This window comes from Homo sapiens, chromosome 2, assembly GCF_000001405.40.
Source record: "Homo sapiens chromosome 2, GRCh38.p14 Primary Assembly".
NCBI lineage: Eukaryota > Metazoa > Chordata > Mammalia > Primates > Hominidae > Homo > Homo sapiens.
Window position 1 is genome coordinate 183,517,601 of NC_000002.12, and position 27,984 is coordinate 183,545,584.

A 27,984-nucleotide genomic window follows, 5' to 3' on the forward strand; every position below is an offset into this window, starting at 1 on the left:
TTTGCTTTCTCCCTCTCTCTCCTTTTACTCAGTCCATTTTTGGTAGATAAGGAAGACTTAGGGAATGGAAGACTTCAAACAAACAGATGGGCACTGGCACCTTAGGTCTGATTTTATCAGGCTGCATTCTGCCCTGTAGGAAATGTTGTTATTGAGGTAACTAAGCGTAAGGCATTATGGTCATGCCATGTTGATTTTGGGAACCAAAAAATAGCATTTTCACTCTTGTCTGACAGAAAATCAGTTTATTTAATAGTTTTGCCCTTAACCTTAAATGGAACAAGATGGAACTAAAAAATTTATATGGTTATTAAAGAATGATTAGATATTGTCTCACAGGGCATTTTGGCACTGTGCTTGTGAAATAATGCATTTTTTGGTTCTGTTTTTCAATGGTCAATTCTCAGTCTTCATTGTACTTGATCTCTCAGAGCATATGATGCAGTTGCTCACACCCTCTTCCTTGATACTTTTTCTTCACATGGTTTCTAGGACCTCAGAATCCTGTGGGTTTAATCCTACTCTACTGGCTTGTTTTTCTCAATCTTGTTAACTGATGCTGCCTTTTCTGCCTGTACTCTGATTGTTGGAGTATATCAGCACATTCACTCCCTTGGTGATTGCATCCAGTCTCATACCTTATATACTAAGTACATGCAAACAGATCCCAAGTTTATATCTCTTGTTCAGAGCTCTAGCCTGACCTACAGGTGTCAGTATCTGCTGTTGACCTGACTTCTCTATTTGAATGTCTAACAGATATCTCATGTCAGACCTGTCTGAAACCTTCACTTTCCAAACCTATTTTATTCTCAGTATTCTCTATCTCATTTAATGGCACTTCCATCATTCCAGTTAGTAAACCAGAAATAGTGCTTTAATCCTTTACTCCTTTCTTTTATTTAAATCTCACATCCAATCCATTATGAAATGCTGTTGGCTGTAATTTCAAAAAATATAGAAATTTCGTTCACGTTTTACCGCTTTCATTCTACCACTCTGACTCGAAACATCATCAACTTTTGTCTCGATAACCATAATAGCATCCTAACTTGCTTGTCTCCTCCTACCATTGTCCCCCACATCCTGCCCCCTTCAATGGTCTAAACCCAGCAGAGCAGCCAGAGGGATCTTGTTAAAAAGTCAGATCTTGCTGCTCCTTGCTTAAGACCCTGAAGTAATTCCCCTTTCTATTGAGAGAAAGTCAAGGTAAATCAGTGGCTTTAAGACCCTGCATGATCTCACCTCTGTTACTTCTCTGATTTTATCTCTAGCTACTCTTTTCCTTGCTTCCACCTTTACTGGCCTTTGCTTTTTCCCAATACACAGAAATGTTCCTGCCCTTTCCTCTGCCTACAATACTCTTCCCCTATGTATCCTCCTTGCTAATTATCTCAACACCTTAATATCGTTTCCCAAATGACATGCTTCCAATGAGGCCTGTTTCCTGAGCACCCTATTTAAAATGGCACCATGCCTAACAGCGCAACTCTCCACATACCCCTTATCTCACTCATTTTTTAAAAGTATTTATCAATTATCATCTTCTTACACAATACATTTTACTTGTATTATCATGTTTATTTTTTAATTGTCTTTCTCTGTTGAATTGTAAACTTCATGTTTGCAGGGGCCTGTACTCATTTTGCTCATTGATGTATCCAAAGATGCTAGAAGGTTCTGGCACAATGTAGGCCCTAATAAATATTTGAGTAATGAATGAATGAAAGAATGAGTGAATGAATAGTGGAGAAGCAGTGACCTGACAGCTTCTTCACTGCTTGGTGTTAAGGGCTAGTTCAGTATTGGAGAGATTGTCTCACCACAGTCTGATTACTGTTGTTTCCTTTAAGGAGAAAGGCTACTGGACTAGTTAGGATTTTAGTATATAGAAGGGGCCTCATTCAACTCTTCTTATTCTTCTCCCTTCTGGGAACCTTTGTTTTGATCTACTTTTCTTTCAATTTCCTGGCCAACAAAGAGGAGGTTATTGAGGAAATGGTAACTTTATGCTTTGATTGTACATTTGACCTGCTGCTCAAAACTAGGAGTTTATGTATCACAACATCATTTTCTTTCCAAATACACCTATACTATGACAAGACTTAAATAATTTCTGGGGGAAAATAGTGTAAATATTAACTATCAGCACAGCTACCATGCAGTAATAGATACTCCTATCTGATCTGTGGGTCTTGGGGAGGTTTTCTGACTCCTTCACATAGCACCTGTTCTAATTTCTGGGCCTCTGTGTTTACTGTAATAAGATAAGGCTGATTGCTATTGAAAGCAAGCCAAGCTGGGAAAGGTCTGGAGTAGCAATGTAACTCTCACTAGTATTGCAGTGAGTAGTGTTTTCAGTAATTTTTAGTAATTATGATACTGAGTAATATTAAGAATAAAGGAAGCATGTTGTATTCTGTCGCAATTTCTGAATATCACAGCATTAAGTAGAAGTAGACTTTTCTTGCCATTTCTTCTATCATTTAACATCTGTTTCTTATGGTGACAGAGTTAACAAATAAACATCTGTCATCCTATTATATAAGGAAAGCTTTTCTCTTTCTTTAAATAAATTTTTATTTGATGGTGCTTAGAATGTGGTAGATGATCTCCAAAGATGGCTGTCCAACAATTTCCCCATTTCCTGTATGTGCATTGCATTCCTCCCATCAAGAGGAAAAAATCGATCCCCTGCACATCCCTCTCCCTTTAACCTGGGCTGACTTTGTGACTTGCTTTGAATAATAGAAGACAACAGACAAAAAAGTAATCCTGAGCCAGTTCTGGGCCTGGTTTTAGGAGGAGTGGCAGCTTTTGATTTTGCTCCCTAAGAACCCATTTGCCATGATGAGGGAAGTCCAGGTTGTCCTGACGGTGAGAAGAAACCGTGGAGAAGCCTTAGAAGATAAGTCCCTATATATAGAGAGAGAGGCCACATGGAGAAAAACTGAGGGGGCCAGCTGACAATCAGTGCCAAGATTCCGGCCATATGATGAGATCTTGACTCTTCCACTTCAGCTCAGATACCAAATAAATGCAGCTACATGAGTGACCCAAAATCACATTGAGTAGAAGAACCAATTTGAGCTATAGATTTGTGAAAAAAAAATAATAAATAACTGTTGTTTTAAGCCACTAACTAACTTTTGGGGTGGTTTGCGATATTGCAATAAATAACTTATGCAATGGACTTTTGAGTACCAAAGGATTTTGTTTTAACCTTTAATTTCAGATCTTGCTTTAAGTTGTTTGATTTTTCCACAAGCTTAAGACAGTGCTTTATTCCATTTGGGAAAGACTCATACAAATTTACTATAAGATAGCGACCACTGGTGGGTTAGAAAATGGCAAAGCTTCTTGGGGTGTCAGGGAGGTGAGGCTATTGTTTCTCTCTTGTCACAGGACTGCATGACCCCCATGTCCACAAGATGACCTGGGAGAGAGATGTTTGGGGGTGGAGAGGAGGAATAAAGACCAGAAGTGTGATTTTTCTTTTCCTTAGGTTAAGTACAGGTATAACTGACTGCTGTCTTGACACTTTAAAAAGACAATGACTTGGTAAGATGAAATCTAGAGACAGCAACACCTTATTCACTGTGTGTTAATGATAGATGTGTAGAGGGCAAGTGTTCACTTGGTAGGTTTGGATATAAATTATAAAGGCTTTTTTTTTTTCCCAAAAAAGAAACAGTGATATATTTGAAATTGCTGGATGTGTATTTCTGAGCTGTTTGCAAGAATTTTTACCTTTTTATAGACTCATTTCAACTCTGTATTTGAAACCAGATGGCTTCTTCTTGAACTGCAAGACTGAATATATTAACCTTTAATGTAAATGCACTTACTCATTGAGCAGTTGGTTACTCCTACATCTTTCTGCATGACCTTGATGATAAAGAACCACTTTTTGATTCTTATTTTTTAATGCTTACTAGGAATTTTTATTGAAAGTTACCAAACCATCTGATTTGGATGTTTTAAAATGTAAAAGTCAGAAACAAATTGGCATTGCTAAGATACTATGGATGAAAGGGTTGCCACCACTCTATAATCTTGAGTTGTAAAGAAGCAATTTGAGTTATTTTCTATGTGGGTTGGCAAGTGAGCTTTTTGTGGGCTAGAATTGGTAAAACAAAGATATGTTCAAGCTGTGAAATGCATTCAAGAGGAAAAAGCAATAAATGACAAGAGGCCTGTTTTGTCAGTTACGTTTTTGACTGTTGTACAGGTTCTGATTATGGGGAAAAAATGCCTTTTAAAAATTTTGGAATGATGGGTCTCCCATAATGGAGATAGGTTGGTTCGGCTGCAAAAGAGAACAGATGGAAAGCTTTATCTTCAACTAGTGCTGTCAGTTTCTCCTTATCACTTAAAAATCATATGTTCTTAATAGTTTTTGAAGTTCAGTTTTTTTCCCCTGGTTTTACAGTCTTTTTAAACTTTAACATAACTACTGTTTTCTGGTGCTGGCCTGTTCTAAAAACTATACTTGGATGGACTACATCTGTAAAACATCAGGAATTGTAAGAATTCCTTTTTGAGTTGTGTTAAGCTACTTAGCCCTATTTAAAAATGACCTTGATCGAGTTCAATAAAACTGTGGCTAAATTCCACATTATTCATTGTTATTCTTTATGCTCAAGTAAAGAAAAATGAGGCAAAATTATTCACTCCTATTAGGTTATTACTAAGGGGAAAATAAATAAATAAGTATGCTGAGATTGAAGTGCTTTGCAGGGAAGTGGGATGAAATACCTTGGCATTGATTGTTAAATATAAAAGTGGAAGGTAAATGTGGAATTAGGTGAAGGGGAAAGCATCTTTACAATTTGACTTTTTTATGTTAAGAAAACGAGCTATAATTCTCGCCATTGCAAATCCAGTGGGTTCTTTCTTTCTTATTACCACATTCAAATCTTGTTTATATAAAGAACTCAAGGACATTTACTTCAACTAAAACTTTTTTCCTTTTAATGTGCATTAAAAAATTACATTCTTTCTAAAATGGTGTTGCAATTTTAACCTCAGCAATTTTGCATAGCATAGTTTTCACATTATAGGGACAGAGTTGAAGAGATTTTCTGACAACTTAATTGATTTGTTTTTAGTGTTCTTTGGCTTATGTGTTTGGGCTAAAAATAACTGTTTGAAGTGATCTCATTTTAACTATGTAAGGTTTCAAGTGCATGGCATACGTGGGTCTTCATCTTCATTTATATTTCAGAGTGTTCCTGTTTGGTGATTGCAGAATTTGATTCTGATATTATTTGTTATTATTTTATTGCTTGTCAGGAAGCAGATTTAGTAGTTTAAGGGAAAACCATCAATAAAAATTGCTGGCTTTCATGATTTGATTTCATCTATCAGCAAGAAATGTTGACGTTTGTAGGCAGAAACTGCTTAGATTTTTCTTCCTGACCAAATGAGTATGAGGTGGCATTCATTACTCTAATGGATAAATGACCTAGTGCCTATTGATATTATTCATGTTTGTTCACTCACTATGAGTAAACTTTATTTCTTTCAATATGATATGAGATAGCAGTTAACTTGGCATTGCACTGTCTGAAGCACATAAAATTCATTTTGTCATTTTGTTTTTCAAATGTTAGTTATTTAAAATATTAAGTTATTTTTAGTAAAAACTGCTTTAAGATGCATAATAAACCAGCATTTTTCCTATTTATGATTTAATTAATTGAAACATTTCAAAATGCACTCTGTTCACTAAACCCTCTTAATCTCGAAAGCTGGTAGTAATGCATTCTTTAAGCAGGTCTTTAGAAAGTATTAGAACATTTAGCATTTAATGTATACATTTTGGATGACTTTGAAATCTTTCAAATTACCATTTGCTAGATTATGGATAGGCATGTTATTATCCCTATGTGGTTTTGGATATATTGATGTATTCTAATAAGATATAAAATTAAGATACAAAAATCAATGTGGTATGTATTTTGGTTAGCCAATTGGATGAAAGAGAAACTTATGTGCCAAGGCAGCATAAAAGATAAAATAGGAATAATCTTAAAAACTGTGAAAAACTATATGAAAAAACCTTTGAACACCTGATTATGGGAAATGATAATCTTTCTTCTTAGATAAGACAACTCCACATGATAGAGATGTCAGTTCTCTCCATGTTAGAGAGAATCCGTGATCCTGATAACAATGGCAACTGTTTTTTTTTTTTTCTTTCTGGAGTTAGACAAGTTGCTTCTAAAATTTATGTATACAAATCATGAAAAAGGTACTCAGAAAATCCTAAAAAAGAACAGCAATAAAAGGGATAGTCTAATGGAACAGAATGGAAGTTCCAGGAATAGACCCAAATGCATGTTGAAATTTAGTATCTAATAAAGATGATATCTACGTTCTCTGTGGAAGAGATGAGCTTTAAAAATAAATGATGTTAAGAAAACTGGCCATTTCAAAAAAGATAAAATTGTATCTATGCTTTATATAAAACAGTAGAATAAACCACAAATGGATCAGAGACTTAAGTCAAAAAAATCAAAACATTCAAGTACCAAAAGATAACATCACTGAATTCCTCTACAGCTTTGGTGTAGGAAAGCCTTTCTATTTATGACTCAAAATTCACAAGTAATAAAAGGAAAGATTAATAAATGACTATATAAAACATTTGCACAGGAAAAAATTATCAGCAAGTCAAAAGACAAATTACCAACTAGGGGGAAATATTTACAACTTCTGTAACAGACAATAGGCCAATTTACCTAATATATGAAGGGACTAATAAAAAGTGAGGGGAAATAAGGCCAAAACTTGATAGAAAAAAAATGGGTAAAAGATATGAACAGTTCACAGAGAAAGATATCTAATGACATTTAAATATGTGAAAAGATTGAAAGTACATTTTTACCTTTCAAATTGGGGAACACATAAAACGTTGACCATATACTTTGTTGATGAGTCTGTGGGGAAACAGAAATTTACACATACTGTTATTGTGAAGGCAAAATGTTATAATTCTTATGAAAGGGAATTTGACAACATCTAATAAAATTAAATGTTTACTTACATAAAGACCATTTTTAGGGACTTACTTTTGAGGTACTTGTATACAAATATAAAATAACAAATATAGAGGGCTATTGATTATGTCACTGTAAAAGTAAAATGTGGGAAATAAATGCTCAACTATAAAAAACTGGTTACACAGCATGCAATGGAACACTATGCAGTCATGAAAACACTATGTAGTCTCTAGAAACTGAGAGCAGTTAATTTATGTGATTTATTCTTATGTGGAAAAAACAGGTGCAAAGTGTATATGTAGTTGTTGTATATGTAGTTGTGGCAGGCAGCTTCTGATATATATTTTAGTGGTCCCCACTTCCTGGTGTTTAAAGCCTTTGTAATATTCTCTTCTTGAGTGTAGCTGAACTTTGTGACTTGCTTCTCACAAAAGTGATGGGGTGTTATTTCCGTGACTAGGTTATAAAGACTGTGACTTCTGCCTTGCTGATATTCTCTCTCCCTGGGTCATCTCCTGTGCTTGCTTTGATGGAAAGACCTACCAGGAAAGCCTCTTGCAAACAGCCAGCAACAAAGTGAGGTTCTCAGTCCAGTAGCTTGTGAGAAACTGTATCATGCTAGCAACCATGGAGTGAAATTGGAAGTGGATGCTACTTCAGTTGAATGTTAAGATGACTGCAGCCTGGGCTGACACCGTAATAACAGTCTCATGAAGACTCTGAGGCAGAGGACCCACCTAGATGAACTGTGCCTGAATTCTTGACCTACAAAAACTGTGAGATATTAAATATGCATCATTTCAAGTTGCTAAGTTTTGCATTAACATGTTATGCAGCAACAGATAACTAACACAACAGTGTTTATCTTTTGTATAATAAGCAAAACTAAAAAAACTTTTTTTTTTAAATAAGAAAGATACAATGGGAAGGATAAATTAGCAGCAAAAAGTCAAGATGTATTTGAAAAATTATTATGAAGTGGATTGAAACTGCATGACCTGATTGTCCTTAATGATGTCCAAGTATACAAATGTATTTTATTTTGGCATAGCCTCATAAACTCATAGTATGAATTTTCATACAAATTTGCTGGAAATTAGTAATTCCAATTTATAATAATTCTTGAAATATGTATATTTTGATATTTTCTGGTGAGATTTTGGCCATCAGCTCTATGAAGCATTTGTTTTTGCAGGTATTCTGAACCACAGAAGGCTGACTTGTTCTGCTTCATAATGACTTGACTTTGGTCATTGAAAAATGCTTGAGCTAAAGGAAGTCCATAGTCCCTATTTATATTCAGCTTTTACTAAAACACATTTATGGCAGAAATTTAACAAGGATTTAAGTCTTTGAGAAAATTTTTTGTTTTAAAGAATGAAGAAACTACTACACAGTGATTCTTTTCTTTCACTGAAGCTCCCAATAAAAAATATATACAATTTACAAATTAGGCTTCAATATTCCTTTCATAAGATCTAACAACTTGCTGCGCCATTCTAGTTGTTTGGGAAAGGGTTGGCCACACATAAAACTAAAAGATAATCGATCAATGAGCTTTTTGTGGAGCAGGCAAAAGAACCTTTCATTTCAAAGTCTCTGAGTGAACTTGTATGTTACATGAAGGAGAATAACTTCGGTGTAAAGTAACAACCTTTTGAAAATTCTTAAGATACAATATCACTGCCTTTTTTTTTCCCAAAGAAGAGTCATTGATAGTTCAGTTAATTACTGCATGAAAAAAATTCAAAGCTGCTACATCAAAAATATACCTGTACACAAATTTTTATCTCAGCACACTTCACAATTGCAAAGATATGGAACCAACCTAAGTTCCCATTAACTGATGAGAAAAGAAAATGTTGTGTGTGTATATATTACAGTATGTATATAATGGAATACCACTCAGCCATGGGAAAAGCAACTTGGATGGAGCTGGAGGCCATTTTTCTAAATGTAGTAACTCAGGAATGGAAAACCAAATAAATACTACATGTTTTTTGCTTAGAAGTGGGAGCCAAGCTATGGGTATGCAAAGGAATACAGAGTGCTATAATAGACACTGGAGACTTAGAGGAGATAAGGATGGCAGGGGAATAAAAAACTATGTATTGGGTACAATGGGCACTACTCAGGTGGTAGGTACACTAAAATCTCAGACTTTACCACTATATAATTCATTCATGTAACCAAAAACCACTGGTACTCCTAAAGCTATTGAAATAATAAAAAAAGCAATAAGTAAATGTCAAGAAATGTAAAAAAAATATAGAAACAAATTTCTCTGGTTTATTCTTGGATTATTCAGCCGTATGCATATTTCTATGCATATGGAGACATCCAGTAGAGCTATCTTGAAGCTTAACTTTCTGTCAAACATAATTTAATGTATCTGGGGCCTCAGGCAACCATAAGAGAAACGATATACATATCCATGCATTATTGGCTATTTTACGAAGTGATACAGTGAGCCCTCTGAAAAAGAAGGATGGTGACATTGACATGGCTTGGGAAAGTTACCATTTTTCTTGGCTCGTTTAGCTCTCATCCACAAAGACTTGTTAAAGGCAGTGTATGGGCAGGCTAGGAATGAATTAAAGCAGTAACCCTAACTTTCTCAAATGTCTGAGGGAAATGCACCATAGAAGTGATCCGAGATTCCATTAACAACTTAAGTCTAGCTGTAAGGAAGGACCATTTCAGGGCATAATGAATTGTGGGTATGATACACTGGATAAAATAGCCTATTTGGTTCAGTTTTGGCCAAATGGAATTTTATCTATCTCATTCACTTTTCTTTTGGTTAGGTAAGAAATTTTTTTGATGGCATTTTCCTAGGAAGCTTATGATGAAAAGAGAGAATAGTAATATGCCTCTGAAAACCCTGGGCCTAACTCCTCCTCTAGCATGAACATGAGCATATTACTAACCCTAATTAAGTGATTCTCTGCTTGGATTCAATGGAAACATAACACTCTTTCTTATAGGGGGCAGATAATCATGTTTTGAAATTTGATGTGAATTAAAGTAAGATCTGGGACCTACTACTGTCCTACTAGAGAGTTGTTACTAATGCAGGTTGTTGACTTCGTGACTTTTTGTTTTTTTTGCAATCTGCCTTAATAACTCAAGCTATAAATGTACTGGGGTAAAACAGTTGGAAGTATGTGGAGAAAGAACATTCTCCAAACAAGAAGAAATGAAGAGAAATTGCCCAGGATACAATGGACTGTAATTGTTGTATGACTGGAAGCCCAGGTCCATGGTCAGCTTTGTTTGTTTGGAAGGAGAGAAGGAAATGAGAAGATCATCAAGAAGGAAGGGATGAAGCATGTCTGAAATTTTGATGAGTTAGACAAGTAAATTAAATCTTCAGTGGTTCAGGCAGGCAGCACAGATGCAAAATTGTAGCCCTTGAAAAAAAGGAAATAGAACATAAGGCTTTTGCTACACATGTGATTAAATCTCATGGGTCCATGGAGAGGAAAATTGAGATGCTGGAGAAACAAATGATGCTGTAAAAACTGAAGTGCACTGACTGAGGCAGAGGGTGAAGATTCCTGAGGGAGACAAAGTTGTTTTAATGATTTCTACTTGGAGCTAACTAAGAAGATAAGCTGGAACTTCCCCCTGTTGAGGAATATAACTACTGACCTAGTCTTATAACCACATGTAGCCAATAATCTAGTAATTTAATAGTATGTATGAATGTATGCAAATGTATATTTATATATACATATTAAAAATAACTGTTAGCCAAATAATATTCAGTGCTTGAGAAATCAGAATTGCAACAGACAATAGAATCGGATACAAATATTACTGATTATCTTTTGATCTTTTAAAGGTCGAGAAAATGTTTAGTCCTTGTTGTGGTTTGGCTGTGTCCCCACCCAAATCTCATCTCATAGTTCCCATAATACCCTTATGTCATAGGAAGGACCTGGTGAGAGGTAATTGAATCATGGAGGCAGTTCCCCTCTGCTGTTCTTGTGATAGTGAGTTCTCATGATATCTCATGGTTTTATAAGAGGCTTTCCCCCTTTGCTCGGCACTTCTCTCTCCTGCCACCATGTGAGGAAAGATGTGTTTGCTTCCCCTTCCATCATTATTGTAAGTTTCCTGAGGCCTCCCCAGCCATGTGGAACTGTGAGTCAATTAAACATCTTTCCTTTATAAATTACCCAGTCTTGGGCACATGAGAATGGACTAATATAGTCCTTGTACATATAGTTTATCGAATATTTAAATAAATAATGAGATAAGAAAATTTGTATCATTTTTGTATTTCCTCATGTGGATTGAATCTGTGGCCCTGCTGAAATCTCATGTCAAATTGTAATTCCCAGTTTTGGAGGTGGGGCCTAGTAGGAGGTAACTGGATCATGGGGGCACTTTCTCATGAATGGTTTAGCACCATCTCTGTTGGTACTGTCCTTGCCATAGTGAGTTCTCATGATATCTGGTTGTTTAAAAGTGTGTGGCTCCTCCCCTGCCTCTTGCTCCAGCTTCTGCCATGTAAGATGCTTGTTTCCACTCTGCCTTCTGCCATGAGTAAAAGCTCCCTGAGGCTTTCCTACAAGCAGATGCTGTCATGCTACCTGTACACCCTGCAGAACCATGAACCAATTAAGCCTCCTGTCTTATAAATTACCCAATCTCAGGTATTTCTTTATAGCAATGCAAGAACTGACTAATACATTTCCCAAACCGATTATTATTTCCCTTGTGTGTATGTGCAGGAAATCATACAGAATCAATTGGTTCAGAGTCTCATTGATAAAAATCCCTTTGTATGACAGCCAGTTGCTGATTGGTATTTTGTCAGTCAATTCCTTATTTCCCTAACTGCCCTGCTCACTGCCCAACACTTACCTCCCCCTTTGCAAGCTCCTTTGCTTCTGGTATGCTCCTTGAGTGGTCCATGGTGCTGGTGGGTTACAATCTATGTAAAAGTGCTTATGAATAAAATATCATGCTGTCTTCCATGTTTATGTTGAAGGGACCTCAGTCAGTTGAAGGGACCTCCAAGCAAAACATAATTGGCAGGGAATATGGAAGACAGGGCACATAGTATGCAGGAAATATGAAAAACAGTTTCATGAGAATCTGTTGAAAAATATTAGGTACTTAAATTGACTTGGAGTAATTACTGAATAAGTCTGTGAAAGTTTGCAAATAGTAACAGTAATTATTTTCAAGGAAATAAACATCTCCACTCTTAAGTCACAAAAAAGAACATGGAACACTTCAGAGGAGAAATCCAAAGCAATCCAAAAGAGGAACAGTTATCTTAACTGTCAGGCCTCTGAGCCCAAGCCAAGCCATCGCATCCCCTGTGACCTGCACATATACGCCCAGATGGCCTGAAGTAACTGAAGAATCACAAAAGAAGTGAATATGCCCTGCCCCACCTTAACTGATGACATTCCACCACAAAAGAAGTGTAAATGGCCGGTCCTTGCCTTAACTGATGACATTACCTTGTGAAAGTCCCTTTCCTGGCTCATCCGGGCTCAAAAAGCACCCCCACTGAGCACCTTGCGACCCCCACTCCTGCCCGCCAGAGAACAAACCCCCTTTGACTGTAATTTTCCTTTACCTACCCAAATCCTATAAAACGGCCCCACCCTTATCTCCCTTCGCTGACTCTCTTTTCGGACTCAGCCCACCTGCACCCAGGTGATTAAAAGCTTTATTGCTCACACAAAGCCTGTTTGGTGGTCTCTTCACATGGACGCGCATGAAATTAACCACACTTATTTAAGAGTTTCAGAATTTCCTGTGTAGGAGAATTTGAAACTGGTATCAGAATTCCCCTGTATATTATGCACAATGTATTTATACATCCTAAATTGACGACTAAACAATGCACAATATAGAAGGCTGCTTACTGTTCTCATCACCTCATGTGAGTTCAGACATTTACAATTTCTATTTCTTTTTTAAAAATAAATATCTGAGTTAAAGGGCCCCTTTGAGTTTCCTAATGACTAATATTCAAAGTTATACACTGTCTGACTTTCATGAAGTGAAGATTCTGATGTCCAGAGTAAATAAAACAAGCAAGCAACATCGTTTACCAAAAACGTGAGACCAAAATGAAGGTGTGTGAGTCATGTATTAGGAGTATTCATAGAACAGGGTTCATTTCCAGTAGAATTTTTTTCATTTTCACATCCTGTTATACTAGATGAGATTCTCTCACATACTCTAATTCTATTTCTTTCTTTCCCATGTATCCTGTCTCTGAATTCAGTCTTGTGGAATAATTAACACATTAAATGAGTTCAAAAGTCACTATAAACACAGCATATGTTGTTGGGTTTTTGCTAAAATGCACAATTGAACTGATATTTCTTGACAGGTGACTAAACTTGTTTTAACACATAGGTTAAGTTAGTTTTCAAAAATGGCTTTGAGAGTCACTGTTTTCTTTGGGTGTATATTTTTTAAAAATAAGTCCCTAATAGGCAATCTTAAAATGTGAGAACATTCTTTTTTGGGGGCTACTAAGCATATGGAGTGTTTACTACACTTTCAGAAAGTTATGAATTAATGGAAAATAAGGTTCTGTTATGCACTGGTGGTGCAGCTTTGCAACATAATGTATCTTAGGCTGATTACAATTCAGCTTTTCAGCAGGAAGCTACATAGTCAAAGCTTTTGGATTTAGAATAATTTGGCTGAAATGATGTGAAAATAATGTCACTGTTTCAGTTATTCCATCTTATCTCTGTTCAGATAATGGTAATGCTGTGCTAAAGTGAGATTGTCCATCTCTGATTACAGCTAATTAATTCTGCATATATTCATCCAATACATAAGGATCTCAGAAGTTTTCCATGGGCTTATATTATTAACAGGATCAACCATTTTACCTCACAAATATTAATATTTAAGGTCCTGGCTCATTTCTTTCTTGTTGGAACTCTTTGGCAACGCACTAAGTATAAGAGAGACAACACGAAACCTTTGTTGACTTAAATTTCAAAGAATAGGGATGTATTTTAATTCAATCAACATAGTGGCCTCTAGCCTATGCCATTGATTTTAACTGGAGTTAATATCTATTCATTTAAACAATAAGAATACCAGTGAACACTGGTCATCAGTCGGGGAATGTTATGTATATCTTTGCGTCGCTATCTAAAACTCTTTCCATTGGCCTTTCTTGATACTCATAAGTCATTAAGAGAGCTTCAAAGAGCTAGACTTTCAATCTTCAGTAGGATAGAACACCTTGGGAGGAGTTCATACATCTGATTCCTTTCTGAATATTTCAGCTGAGCAGCACACTTTTGGAAGTGAAGAGGGTGGAAACATGAAAGAAAAATAAAATAGTTCGAAATGCAGAAAAACAGCTCTGTAAAAGGGTCTGAGGAATAAGAAACCACCTTGTAGTTGAAAGTTTGCCTGCCTAGTCTTGATGAAAAATAATATTATGAGAAAAACAGACTGTCAACTTAGCTCAATATTATTTCCTCCAGAATTAGTTACATGAGTGACCAGCTATTCACAATTTAACTGGAATTTTGTTTGCAAAATTTAAAAAATAATCCATCTATATCTAATTTATAACTATGTCTATGCATCTTTATGACATTCCTTCAAAAATTAAAAGATATTTTTCCTCAGTTGGCATAAATACACATATAAGCATGTAAGTGTATAGTATGGATAGGTATCAACTAAATGAAATATGCTTCAATGTATAATTATATATTTATAAATATAAGCTTTTGTGAAATTTAATTATTGAGATTAAAAAGCAACTTGCTAGATTCTCCTAGAATGTAAACTCCCTTTGAGGACTCAGGTACTTACTGATTTGCTATCTAGTAGTATTGAGGTAATATTTTATTGTTCCTTTTTTACATAAATTCATTCATCTTAAATCACTTTATGCTTATTTGATGTATGAATATGTGAGTATGTAAGCAGTGTGAAAATTACTGGGTTATTATTTAGTCTTTATTCATTCTCATCTTTTATATTTAGAATTTTTTTTTAAGCAAGAATTTCACGCACTAGTTTAAACTCCTGGCAAAACCAGTCTTTCCAGTGAGTCACATCAAAGAGCATAGTGTAGGAAGTTACAAGACTTCATTTAGCATAACATAGCACCCCAGTGGGGGAAAGCAGACATCTGGGAATAGAAAGCCTCAAGTTCATGTCCTGGCTGCCTTTCCTAGTATCGCCATGAGTTGGAGGAGTCATTTAAAAATCCCTAAGCTTCAGTTTTCTCAGGGAAATTGGAAATAAAATACCTTCGATTTCTTCTGTACCATCAAATATTTTATGTGAAGACACTTTGAAACCAGAAAGTGTCATACAAATATCAAGCATTAGTATAAATTCAGGAGTTAAAGCATTCTTTGAAATAATTATTTCAAGCCATTATGTTTTGTACAAAATAAGAGATAAGCTGATTTTTTTTTTGAATTGCTATGGGTTTTTGCCTCTTTCAGATGACCTTAGAAGGTGTCTTGGTCCATTTTGCATTGCTATAAACGAATACCTGAGCCTGGGTAATTTATAAAGAAATTTTGACTCATAAACATTTTGGCTTTATAGAGAAAATTGGCTCATGGTTCTGCACGTGGTACAAGAAACATGGCACATGGGGAGGGTGCTATGCTCTTTTAAACAACCAGCTCTCAAGGGTAATATTAGAGCAAGAACTCACTCATTGATGCAAGCAGGGCACCAAGTTGTTCATGGGGTATCTGCCCTCATCACCCAAACACCTCCTACCAGGCTCCACCATCAACACTGGAGATCAAATTTCAACATGAGATTTGGAGAGGAAAAATATCCAAACTATATCAGAAGAATAGAGAAGTATTTTTTTAAAAAAAGTCTACAAAGTGTTATTGCCATAATCTTTTTATGGTTTAATATCATCAGTGAACAATAAGTAGGACATAGCATGAGAGTCATCTTGTTAAATGGAATGCTGAATTACTCAGAGGTAAAATTAAGAAGGACTTTAGAGTATTAGTGAAGTCAGGACACTCAAAAAGTTATTTTTTATATTTTAAAGAAGGTATTGGAGCACTTTCCCCACAGGGAAAGAACAGAAGTTTTCTTTAACCTCTTTATATTTATTTATGGTTAATACTGTTCTTTTTGCTTATTTTACGTGAAGGCAGGATTATATTTTTAGTAGATAGGGGCCTCAAATGTCCTAATTTGGTCCTGCATATAATCTTCAAGACAGCTTCAAAACAGGTAGGCGTTACTGTTTTAATAATTCTAGCATATTTTTGAGGTATAATTTATATATTATAAAATTTATTTGTAAGCATACAATTCTTTTTATAAATTTATATTGTTGTGCAACCATCACCACAATGTTCCAGAGCATTTCTATCAACCTAAAAAAGTTCTCTGTCAGTCTGCAGTCATTCTCTGTTTCCATTTGCAGCTGCAGGTAACTACTAATCTGATTTCTGTCTATATAGATTTGCCCTGTGTATGGAAATCTCCTAGAAATTAAATCATACAATATGTAGTTTTTTGTGTCTGGTTGCTCTCACTTAGCATAATGGTTTTGAGTTTGATACATATTGTAGCATGTGTATCAAGAGTTTGCTTCTTTATATACTGTTAAATAATAGTTTGTTGTGTGGATATGCCACATTTTGTTTATCCACTCACCAGATAATGCATATTTGCATTATTTCCAGTCTGAGATTTTATGAATAAAGCTGCTGTAAACATTTGTATACATTTTTTTGGTGGACCTAAGTTTTATTTCTATTGTATAGATAACCAGGAGTGAAATTTCTGGATTGCATGGTAAGGATCTGTTTAACTTTTTAAGAAACTGCAAAATTGGTTTTCAAAGTCATTGTATTATTTTAAATTCTCACTAGAAATGTATGAGGGTTTGGTGTTTTCATATCTTTAGTATCATCAGTCTTTTGCATTATAGACATTCTGGTGAGAGAGCAGTGGTGTCTCATTATGGTTTTAATTTGCATTTCCCTATGACTAATGATGTTTAATATCCTTTCATGTGTTTATTAAATACTTGTATATCTTATTTGGTGAAATGTTTATGTAGACCTTTTGCCTGTTTTTTAACTGGGTGTTTTCTTATTGACTTGTAAGGGTTCTTTATATTTTCTATATAGAAGTCCTTTATCAGATAGATGATGATATATGATTTGCAAGTAATTTCTCCTAGATTGTGGCTTGTCTTTTCATTTTCTTCTTTGCTTTTCTTTTGAAGAGCGACAGTTTTAATTATTAAAATGTTCAGCTTATCAGTTTTTATAGATCCTATTTTTAGTGCCACATGTAACAAAAATCTTATGCTTAACCCAATATCACAAAAATTTTCTTATGCTTTCTTCTAAAAGTATTAGATTTTTATTTAAGTCTGTGATTCATTTTGAATTAATTTCTGTGTATGATGTGAGATAATTATATATAAAATATGTGAGGTAGTTATACCTATATGCATAAATTAGTTTACCTCATAGCATACACAAAAATTATATCTATATTTGGCATATAGGTAGACGTTGCCCATCATACGTTTGATAAAAACACTATTGTTTCTCCATTGAATTGTCTGGACCTTTGATAAAATTAACTGATCATATATTTAAGGGTTTACTTTTGGGATTTATTATGTTCCATGGATCTATATATTTATGCCAATATCACACTGTAGATTACTGTAACTTTGTAATAAGTGTGTAAATCAGGCAATGTAAGTCCCATTGTTTTCTTTTTTAAAAAATTGTTTTAGCTATTCTAAGTCCTTTACATTTTTATACAAGTTTTAAGTTCAGATTGTCAAGTTCTACAAAAATGGCTACTGGGATTTTAACAAGAAGTGTACTAAATTGATAGATTAATTTGGGTGGCAAATTACATTATTATCAATCTAAACAAGTGATGGATCTCCCCATTTACTTAGTTCTTTAATTTCTCTCAGCAATATTTTCTGTGTGCACGTTCTTGTACTTCTGTTAAGTTCATTCCTAAATATTTTAATATTTTATAGCATTATAAATGGATTTGTCTCAATTTCCTTTTGATATTGTTTGTTGCTAGTTTATAGAACTAAACTTAATTTTTAAATCTTGTTTTTTATGACCTACTAAACTTATTTTTCCTAGTATTGTTTTCTTTTCCTCTTCTGCAAATTCCTTAGGAAATTCTACATGGACAATCGGGTCATTTGTGAATAAACAGTTTCACTTCTTTCCTTGCAATCTGATACTTTTTATTTCGTTTTCTTTTCTTACTGCACTGACTAGAACATACAGTATAATGTTTGTTAACTAGAAGTGGTGAAAATCAACACTTGGTCTTCTCCCTAATCTTAAGAAGGAAAGTATTTCATCTTTCATTACTAAGTATGATGTTAGCTGTAGTTTTTTCTTAGATGTCTTTATGAAATTTAGGACGTTCTCTTCTAATTCTAGTTTCTTCAGATATTTTATTTTTTAAATAAATTGTTCTTTTTTTCTATTGATATAGTATATTAATTAAGTTTTTAGATATTAAGCTAATCCTGCATTCCTGGTACAAATCCCACTTGGTTATCCTTTCTATATGTTGGAATTGTTTACTACTGTTTGTTTAAAAATATTTTAAATTTATATGAAGGATATTGGTTTGTACATTTCTTTTCTTGTTACTTTATTTGAGATCCCATTTAGTGTCCTTTTCCTCAAGGTCTACCTTTCCAGACTTTGTTTCCCTATTCATCTTATAATAAATCATGGCATTGCCTTACACTATCCTTTGCACTACCACAAAGGGATCAGTTGTTTATTAAAATCTCATCTTACACAGCATAAAGCTGTACTAAGGACTGTGCAAAGGATTCAAGAAAGGAGCCACACCCAACACTAAGCTGCTATCTAGGAGTTCCTGAATCTATCAGAGGCACCTTCCTAGACAAAGACTGGTGATTGCTTGGGTCTGGATTTCGAAGGCTCATTCTGTGCCAGATGCATTAGCACAGGGACGTTGCTGAATTTGGCGATTTGTTAGCCACAGTAACTAAGAATACTTTATGACTAACTTCCATTCTTCAGCAGAGCTTGGGGCCATCAATCCAAAAATATGGGCTTATTTAAAACAAACAAGCAAAGAAGAAAACAATCAACAATCTAGTTACACCAGGTATATACTGTGAGAAGAATATTCTTTAAGAAATAAGTATAGTTCATAGAAGCCACAAGAAGAACCTCGTTTTCTTCGAGCCAATACATTCTATCATACAATAAAGAGTTCTGGCTGAAGTCAACATTACCTTGGTGTTCCTGAGGAGGGAGAGACTGAGTGAGGAATCTGCTGTTAACCCCTTCCTTACCACTCTGTATATGTTTTTTAGGTATTTTTTTTTTTTTTTGGTTAAGTTATATACTTGGCATTTGTTTTTGTAAACGAATCTGAGGATTAATTTTTAAAAATACATGGTGGAGTTTAAGCCATTTATATTTACTGTTATAGTAGGTATACTTAGCTTTATTTCTGTAATTTTGTTGTATACTATCTCTTATGAATTTTGACCATTTCTTTTTTAAAAACTGTATAAGCACGGACTATTACGCTCTTATTTTATTTTCAATTCCTCCGAAGATTTCTTTTAAGGTTGTATAGATGTATTTTAACTTTAAAAATAAACTAAGAACACTATAACTAACACTATAACTGAAACTATATCATTTCATTCTACCTTTTATAAGAGGAAAGCTTTTAACCTCACCCTCCTCAGAATGAAGACTATTGAAAAGAGATGAACTTAATTTAAGCCGAGGAAAACAAAGAAGTCTTTGTGGAAGAAGTGGCATGTAAATTGGTTTTTGAACAGTTGATAGAAGACAAATAAGTAGAGCTAAAAAGAAATATATAACTAACTATTTGACAATTTTATAAATTATGTAAAATTACTCACTCATTCCATATTATCTTACAATAATGGTTACCATTGACTATTTTGTGATATGACCTTTGATTCAGAACCTGAATAGAGTACTCAGAACAAAAATCCTTCCAGCAGCAGCTGGAACTGTAAGTTTTTGGTAACAGGTGAGGAGACTCTTTCTGGATTGGAGACATAGGTACAGCTCCAGCAGACCTCTGGGGCAGGGAGCTCCAACCCTGACTGCAAAACAGATATTGAAAAAGTGCATCATCTAGAGAGAGTGTAAAATACAGTGTACATATCAGTTTTGAATGGAGAACATTTTGTGTCAGCCAAAGATATCAGTGCTATTGTATATATTTTTGTAATCTACATTTTTATGATTCAATAAAAATCTGCATCTGAAAGTATTTTTTCTATGCTATCCAAAATGCAGCTGCTTCTATACAGCAAAGACTTAATAAATGACTGTTGAATTGAGTGAATGCACGGATAAACACAGTTGTCAGATATGGCCCGGCCCTGAAGAGGTGAAATGTTTAATTTAGTCTGTATATTCACTTTCCATTTTGTTAATAAGAAACTACAGACTGAAGCTGCAAGATAACCTTTACTAATGAGAGTGACATTGCATACACAAACAACTGAAACGTCTTTACTAGGCTTGTAAAGTGTTTTCATTTTACAACCAAATTTGATTTGTCCTGCCAAATTTGCATTGCTCTGCTCATTATTATCAGTACCAGTCTCTTTCCTTTTTACCCATTTCTATTCAGGTCATAGACTAAATTGTAACTTTTTCAGCCAAATATTTTTTAATTTGAACAGTAATGATAGTAATGATCACTGCTGTTAGTAAATAAGAGTTTTGGAGCCTGTAAAACTGGGATCCAGACCCTGGGTCATGGTAATTTTAGTAAGGCCACGTCAGGCTGCTCGGGAAACATTGTTTACCTTCTTTGGAGCCATTTTTTGAAATGAATTGCATTTGCTGAGAGCCTCTTGCCTTTCACATTTATACTATACCTACCCACAGATTCATAGTGAGCTTTATTTGAAGGAGTGTGTACAGAAATATACCATATAAATGCTTTTTTTCTATTATCATATCATGGCCAGAGCTAGTAATCTTCAGTGTCAACACTATTTCACAGATGAGGAGCAGTGAAGATGTTTTACATACTTGGTGGCTAAATTGAGACAAAGCCCAATTCTGCCAACTCTCAGGCCAAAGTGTCTCTAAATTTAAGGGATCACAACCAACGCTGCTACAAACATGGTCAACTCTCAGCCTCTAGGCTCAATAATTTGTGGGATGTCAGCATAGTTCCACTAACAGTTGGAACAGAATGATGGAGACAATCATGTTTGTGTTACGAAGGCCTGGAGCTCAGCCCTGCTAATCACAAAGGCACTCTCACCCCTTCGATGGGCGGGTGTAAACTTTAACTTGAACCCAACTTTTAGGTCAGAGCCATTCATCCAAAACAAGAGGTAAAGGATTTTTAATCCTTTCTATAGGCAACCCTTCAATTACACTGAATAACTTAAGAAAACCCTGTATATAAATTGTGACAGATTCTTAAGCTTAGTGTTTACCCAAAAGAAAATTTTAAAAGATAAAAACATATATAATGTATTTTCCTGGGTGTAATTTCTTACCTGGAAAGCAATTCTCTCAAGGACAGGCATCAGCTTAGGAGATATACGTTAGAAAAAGAAAAAAGACATTTCAAAATATATTTTTCACACACTTTAAATGGTAATTAAAAACACCTTCATCCAAATTATAAGGAACCAGGGATCCCTCAAAGCAAACTAAGTATGAAAAATTGAATAAAACTTACACGTGTCTAAAACTTTATTATTTAAGCAGTGAAAATAGAAGGTTAACATGACTTGAGCAGACAAATTGAACTTTGGATATAATATTCTACAGCTTCAAAATGATTATAATTTTGCGCATTGTTTCATTTTGCTTTCAAAAGAAAAAATGAGAAATGCAATTAATATGGTTTAACTCTGCAGGATAAATATTATTATTTAATGATGTATAAAACAACTCTATTCTAACAGCTTCATGCTGGGAACAAAAATGAAAAAAAATGTATGTATGCATGCATTTAAGAAATTCAGTTCTTTATTTTGAACACAAAGACTCATTTAACTTTGTTACCTATCAAGTGAGTATTTTGGGAAACATTATGCATGTCACATAATCCACAAAACTCTAAATGTCATGCAAAATAAATGTAAGACATAAGGTCGGAAATCTAAGCATATCCATTTACTGATGAACCATTTTCGTTGCCCACTTCACTAATTCTACTAATGTAAAAAATATGTCATAATAAATAATAATGTGGTTGGCATCACTGATTGAGTACTTGCTATAGATGGTCAAAACACACTCAGAGCTCAGTGCATCTGCAGCTAGTGAAAATGATCATGGCCTTCAAGTTAAATTCTGCCTCCTGAGCCAGGCATTGAATGTTTTCACAAATCACACTATATTTCCAGTCTAACCCTCTTTTCTACGTTTCATGATGCTACCAGACAGTAAACCCATACTTTTCTGTGTTATGCTCATTCACCAAGGCTTTCATTCCTCTGAGCTTTTCCTTGTGTTGCTCCTTCCACCTGGAATGCTCTATCTGTACAATTTCACAGATGTCTGATTTGTACTTTCTGGAACACTTTCTGTGTTTCTTTCTTGTAGTAAAAGAAACTTTTCTATTCATACATTCCTTTTCATGTCTTTTACTTTCCACTTGAACTGTAGTTATTTTTGATCATGTTCTATCTTTTCTATTAAATTGTAAGTTTCACAAAGACATAGACCATGCATTAATTATTCTCATGTGTTTTTCATACCTCCTTGGAAAGTACCTTCTATAGGTTCCTAGTAAATGTCTTTTAAAGAATACATGGTACTCCACTGGCAAACACATGAGAGTGAGTAGCAAACTTTTGATGAATTCTTTCTGCTTTATGATTTGACTACATTTTTGTCCTTGAATGCATCTTTAGTTAGAGTTCTTCCACAACTTGAAAACTTCCATATTTTAGGAAAAAAGGATTTATAAGTGAAAAAAGCAGAACTGGTTCAAATGGCCGAAAAGAACCATTTACATGTAATGGATAAATGAGAAGGTGGAGAATAAATGCTTTACAGGGAATACAGAGTATTTTGACAAAGTAGGGTTAATATAACTTGCCTTCTGTAAATTTTGGGGTATATTGAAAGGATAATAAAGATAGTATTAAGAAGCTTAAGATGAATTCAAGGCACTTGATTCTTTTTCTTTTATTTTCTTTCTTTCTTTTTTTTAAGCTTCTTCAATGTTTTGGAAAAAGGCACCTTCTTTCTTTAGAGACAGCACTACACTGCCCATGCTGAACTCGAACTCCTGGGCTCGAGCGATCCTCCCACCTCAGCCTCCCAAGTAGCTGGGGCTGCAGGCGTGCGTCACCGTGCCCAGCTTTGTCTTTTACAGTACCTATGTATATAATTGATCTTTTGTAGATAATCCTTTAAGTCAAAACAATACAATATTTGTTCATGAACAGTTATTGCCAGTACACAAGTAAACAACTTTAAATAATTTATCCTGTGTTTTAGGGTTTATTTTAAATTCAGAGAGGTAATACAATACAGTGATCAAGAAGACGACTAGGTTGCCTAGGTTCAAAAGTAGTTATGATGTTCAACAAGATAATTAACCTATGTTTCACCATATGTAAAATGAGTCCTGGCTTGTGATGTTGTATGATTTAAATATGATAGTATATGTAAAGAGTGTAGTGTTTATTGTTACTACCACCTCTATATTCTTTTCCTCAATTTAGTGCAAAGTTACAGCTGTCAATAATGACATTTATTAGATTGGGAAAACAGCTTCCCATAGTAATTTATTATACAAGTTTCTTCTTTCTCCTTTTCCAGGACTTAGGGGAAAAAAAAACTCCCTAAGAATATTTATTACATAAGAAATGTTGCAACTTAATTGCTTTGGAGTCTGCTTAGTGGAATATCTGGCATACATATTTTTTGGTTTTTATTAAACTATAAGCTTCCTATATCTGTCAGCATGTTTAAATGCAAGAAGTAGAAATAACTCTGATTAAGCAGAATAATTTTTAAAAACGAATATTGGGAGACTCACAGAGGCACTAATAAGGCTAGAGGATAACTTCAAAGCGTCAAAGCTATGCCTTTAGGAAAAAGACTCCAAATCATACAGCATACCAGCCTGAAGAGAAAATGACCCAGTGGCTGCCATGTCTACCAGGCACTGGATGCTACAGCTGTGTTCCACTCAGACCTCGAGGTCCTTGTGTTGAGATCTCACTTCGCAATCACTGCTGTCCTCCAAAGTCCAATGCCTCTGCTGCCCACTCACCAGCACACTGGATGCATATGCAGAGCCGTGTAACTCATGCTGGAGCATGGGTGCTGGTCACATGCCTGTGACTCATTCACGAGCAAGGCAGGGAATTAAGTGTTCTGGCTTTAAACTTACGAAGGTGGGACTGAAGAGGTCAAAAATTCCCAGATGATTACAATTGTGTTGAAAGGAGTTGAGCAGATAGAAAACACTAAATATCCTTTATACGCTCCATCTTTCTGTATGATTAACAGTTTATGGTTTTATAATCAACTATGCTAAGTTCTAGAAGCAGTTATAAAATTTTAGATGAATGAAATAGTTGCGTCACACACAGATTCTTGGAAGTGTTTGAATCGCATGAGTATTGTTTGAACTGCATAATAGTTAATTTTATGTGTCAATTTGCGTGAGCCACGGGCTATCGATTAAACATTATTTCTAGATGTGCCTATAAAAGTGTATCTGTGTAAGATTAGTATTTGAATTGGTGGGCTCAGTAAAGTAGATTGCCCTCCCCAATGTGATTGGGCGTTATCCAATCTGGTGAGGAGCTGAATAGAGCAAAGTGGAGAAAGTAGGAATTCACTCCTTGTTGCCTCGTTTACTGCTAGAGCTGGGACATCTCATCTCATCTCTTGGCCTTGGATTAGGGATTTAAACCATTGGCTTCTCTGGATCTCGAGTCTGCCGAGTAGTACTGAATTATACAGCTGGCATTCCTGAGTCTCTAGCTTGTAGATGGTTGATCGTGGGACTTAGCCTCCATATATGCATATTAATATATGTATCTCCTGTTGGTTCTGTTTCTCTGGAGAACCCTGACTAGTACAAACTGACATTAGTGTCAGCATTTGAATGCTATGGAACTGCTCTTTGTTATCTAACATGTAGAGTATTTTACACGTACCAGCAATACAAAGTTCAGTTTTACTGCTGTTTTATAGCCTCAACTGAAGCCATTTAGGAAAATCTTTCAATGGTTAACTTTTGTGGAATTTTAAGTTTCTTTACTTTCGAGACCCATAGTTCAAAAGCTACAAGAAGGCAGTAAGTGACAAGTCTCTTTCCCATTCCTGTCCACCAGTGGCTGAGTACCACTCCCTTCAGGCAGCCCATGCTAGCAATTTCTTGTGAATCCTTCCAAAGATATATAGGCAAACACTACATTCTATCCAGACTGTAATATCCTATTATATCGTTCTGTATTCTTTTGCTTTTGTCACATACCAATATAGCTTGTATGCCATTCTGTGTCAGTAAAAACCATGCTCCTCATTATCGTATGGGCTGCACAATATTCCATTGTATGGATGCACCAACACTTTTAAAAGCAATTTTTGAGGAGACTTACCAAAATGGCTGAGTAGGAACAGCTCTGGTCTGCAGCTCCTAGCGAGATCAATGCAGGAGGTGGGTGATTTCTGCATTTCCAACTGAGATACCCAGCTCGTCTCATTGGGACTGGTTAGACAGTGGGTGCAGCCCATGGAAGGTGAGGTGAAGCAGGGTGGGGCACTGCCTCACCCAGGAAACACAAGGGGTTGGTGTACTCCCTCCCCTAGCCGAGGGAAGCTGTAAGGGACTGGGCAGTGAGAAATGGTGCACTCCAGTCCGGATATTATGCTTTTCCCATGGTCTTCGCAACCCACAGACCAGGAGATTCCCTTGAGTGCATACACCACCAGGGCCCTGGATTTCAAGCACAAAACTGGGCTCCATTTGGGCAGACACCGAGCTAGCTGCAGGAGGATTTTTATTTATACCCCAGTGGCACCTGGAACACCACTGAGACGACAGAACCATTCACTCCCCTGGAAGGGGGGCTGAAGCCAGGGAGCCAAGGGGTCTAGGTCAGCAGATCCCACCCCCACAGAGCCCAGGAAGCTAAGATCCACTGGCTTGAAATTCTTGCTGCCACCACGGCAGTCTGAAGTCGATCTGGGATGCTCAAGCTTAGTCGGGGAAGGGATGTCCACAATTACTGAGGCTTGAGTAGGTGGTTTTCCCCTCACAGTGTAAACAAAGCAGCAGGGAAGTTCCAACTGGGCGGAGCCCTTTGCAGCTCGGCAAAGCCACTGTAGCCAGCCAGACTGCCTCTCTAAATTCCTCCTCTCTGGGCAGGAGATCTCCAGGGGGGTGGTGGGGGGTGGGGGGGTGGTGGAGAGGGAGGGGGAAAGCAACAGCCCCAGTTAGGGGCTTATAGATAAAACCCCCATCTCCCGGGGACGGAGCACCTTGGGGGAAGGGGTGGCTGTGGGCACAGCTTCAGCAGACTTAAATGTTCCTGCCTGCCACCTCTGAAGAGAGCAGCAGTTCTCCCAGCACAGTGCTTGAGCTCTGCTAAGGGATAGACTGCCTCCTCAAGTGGGTCCTGGACCCCTGTGCCTCCTGATGGGGAGACACCTCTCAGCAGAGCTTGACAGACATATCACACAGGAGAGCTCTGGCTGGGATCTGGCGGGTGCCACTCTGGGACGAAGCTTCCAGGGGAAGGAACAGGCAGCAATCTTTGCTGTTCTGCAGCCTCCACTGGTGATACCTAGGCAAACAGGGTCTGGAGTGGACCTCCAGCAAACTCCAACAGACCTGCAGCAGAGGGGCCTGTTAGAAGAAAAACTAATGAACATAAAGGAAGAGCATCAACATCAACAAAAAGGATGTCCACACAGAAACCCCATCCAAAGGCCACCAACATCAAAGACCAAAGGTAGATGAATCCACGAAGATGGGGAGAAACCAGCGCAAAAAGGCTGAAATATCCAAAAACCAGAATGCCTCTTCTCCTCCAAAAGATCACAACTCCTCACCAGCAAGGGAACAAAACTGGACAAAAAATGAATTTGACAAATTGACAGAGGTAGACTTCAGAAAGTGGGTAATAATGAACTCCTCTGAGCTAAAGGAGTGTCTTCTAACCCAATGCAAGGAAGCTAAGAGCCTTGAAAAAATGTTAGATGAATTGCTGACTAGGATCACCAGTTGAGAGAAGAACATAAATAACCTGATGGAGCTGAAAAACACAGCACGAGAACATCATGAAACATACACAAGTATCAATAGCCGAATTGATCAAGTAGAAGAAAGGATATCAGAGACTGAATATCAACTTAATGAAATAAAACCTGAAGACCAGATCAGAGAAAAAACGAATGAAAAGGGATGAACAAAGCCTCAGAGAAATATGGGACTATGTGAAGAGACCAAACCTATGTTTGAATGGTGTACCTGAAAGTGACGGGGAAAATGGAACCAAGGTGGAAAACACTTTTCAGGATATTATCCAGGAAAACATCCCCAACCTAGCAAGACAGGCCAATGTTCAAATTCAAGAAATACAGAGAACACTACAAAGATACTCCTCAAGAAGAGCAACCCCAAGACACATAATCATCAGACTCACCAAGGTTGAAATAAAGGAAAAAATGTTAAGGGCAGTCAGAGAGAAAGGTCGGGTTTACCCACAAAGAGAAGCCCATCAGACTACCCTACAAGTCGGAAGAAAATGGGGGCCAATATTCAACATTCTTAGAGAAAAGAATTTTCAACCCAGAATTTCATATCCAGCCAAACTAAGCTTCATAAGCAAAGGAGAAATAAAATCCTTTACAGACAAGCAAATGCTGAGAGATTTTATCACCACCAGGCCTGCCTTACAAGAGCTCCTGAAGGAAGCACTAAACATGGAAAG

The 27,984-nt window shown here is 36.2% G+C and overlaps 4 annotated features.

The window, feature by feature from the left end:
- Window positions 11,873-12,510: an enhancer, noted in NCBI's record as "OCT4-NANOG-H3K27ac hESC enhancer chr2:184394201-184394838 (GRCh37/hg19 assembly coordinates)". NCBI's record gives its function as "activates a minimal SCP1, AML or CMV promoter by ChIP-STARR-seq in naive H9 embryonic stem cells {active_cell/tissue: H9 hESC(naive)}" and the evidence as "EXISTENCE:reporter gene assay evidence [ECO:0000049][PMID:30033119]".
- Window positions 12,511-13,147: an enhancer, noted in NCBI's record as "OCT4-NANOG-H3K27ac hESC enhancer chr2:184394839-184395475 (GRCh37/hg19 assembly coordinates)". NCBI's record gives its function as "activates a minimal SCP1, AML or CMV promoter by ChIP-STARR-seq in naive H9 embryonic stem cells {active_cell/tissue: H9 hESC(naive)}" and the evidence as "EXISTENCE:reporter gene assay evidence [ECO:0000049][PMID:30033119]".
- Window positions 25,977-26,476: an enhancer, noted in NCBI's record as "H3K27ac hESC enhancer chr2:184408305-184408804 (GRCh37/hg19 assembly coordinates)". NCBI's record gives its function as "activates a minimal SCP1, AML or CMV promoter by ChIP-STARR-seq in naive H9 embryonic stem cells {active_cell/tissue: H9 hESC(naive)}" and the evidence as "EXISTENCE:reporter gene assay evidence [ECO:0000049][PMID:30033119]".
- Window positions 26,724-26,783: an enhancer, noted in NCBI's record as "active region_16839". NCBI's record gives its function as "activates an Ori minimal core promoter by ATAC-STARR-seq in GM12878 lymphoblastoid cells {active_cell/tissue: GM12878}" and the evidence as "EXISTENCE:reporter gene assay evidence [ECO:0000049][PMID:35858748]".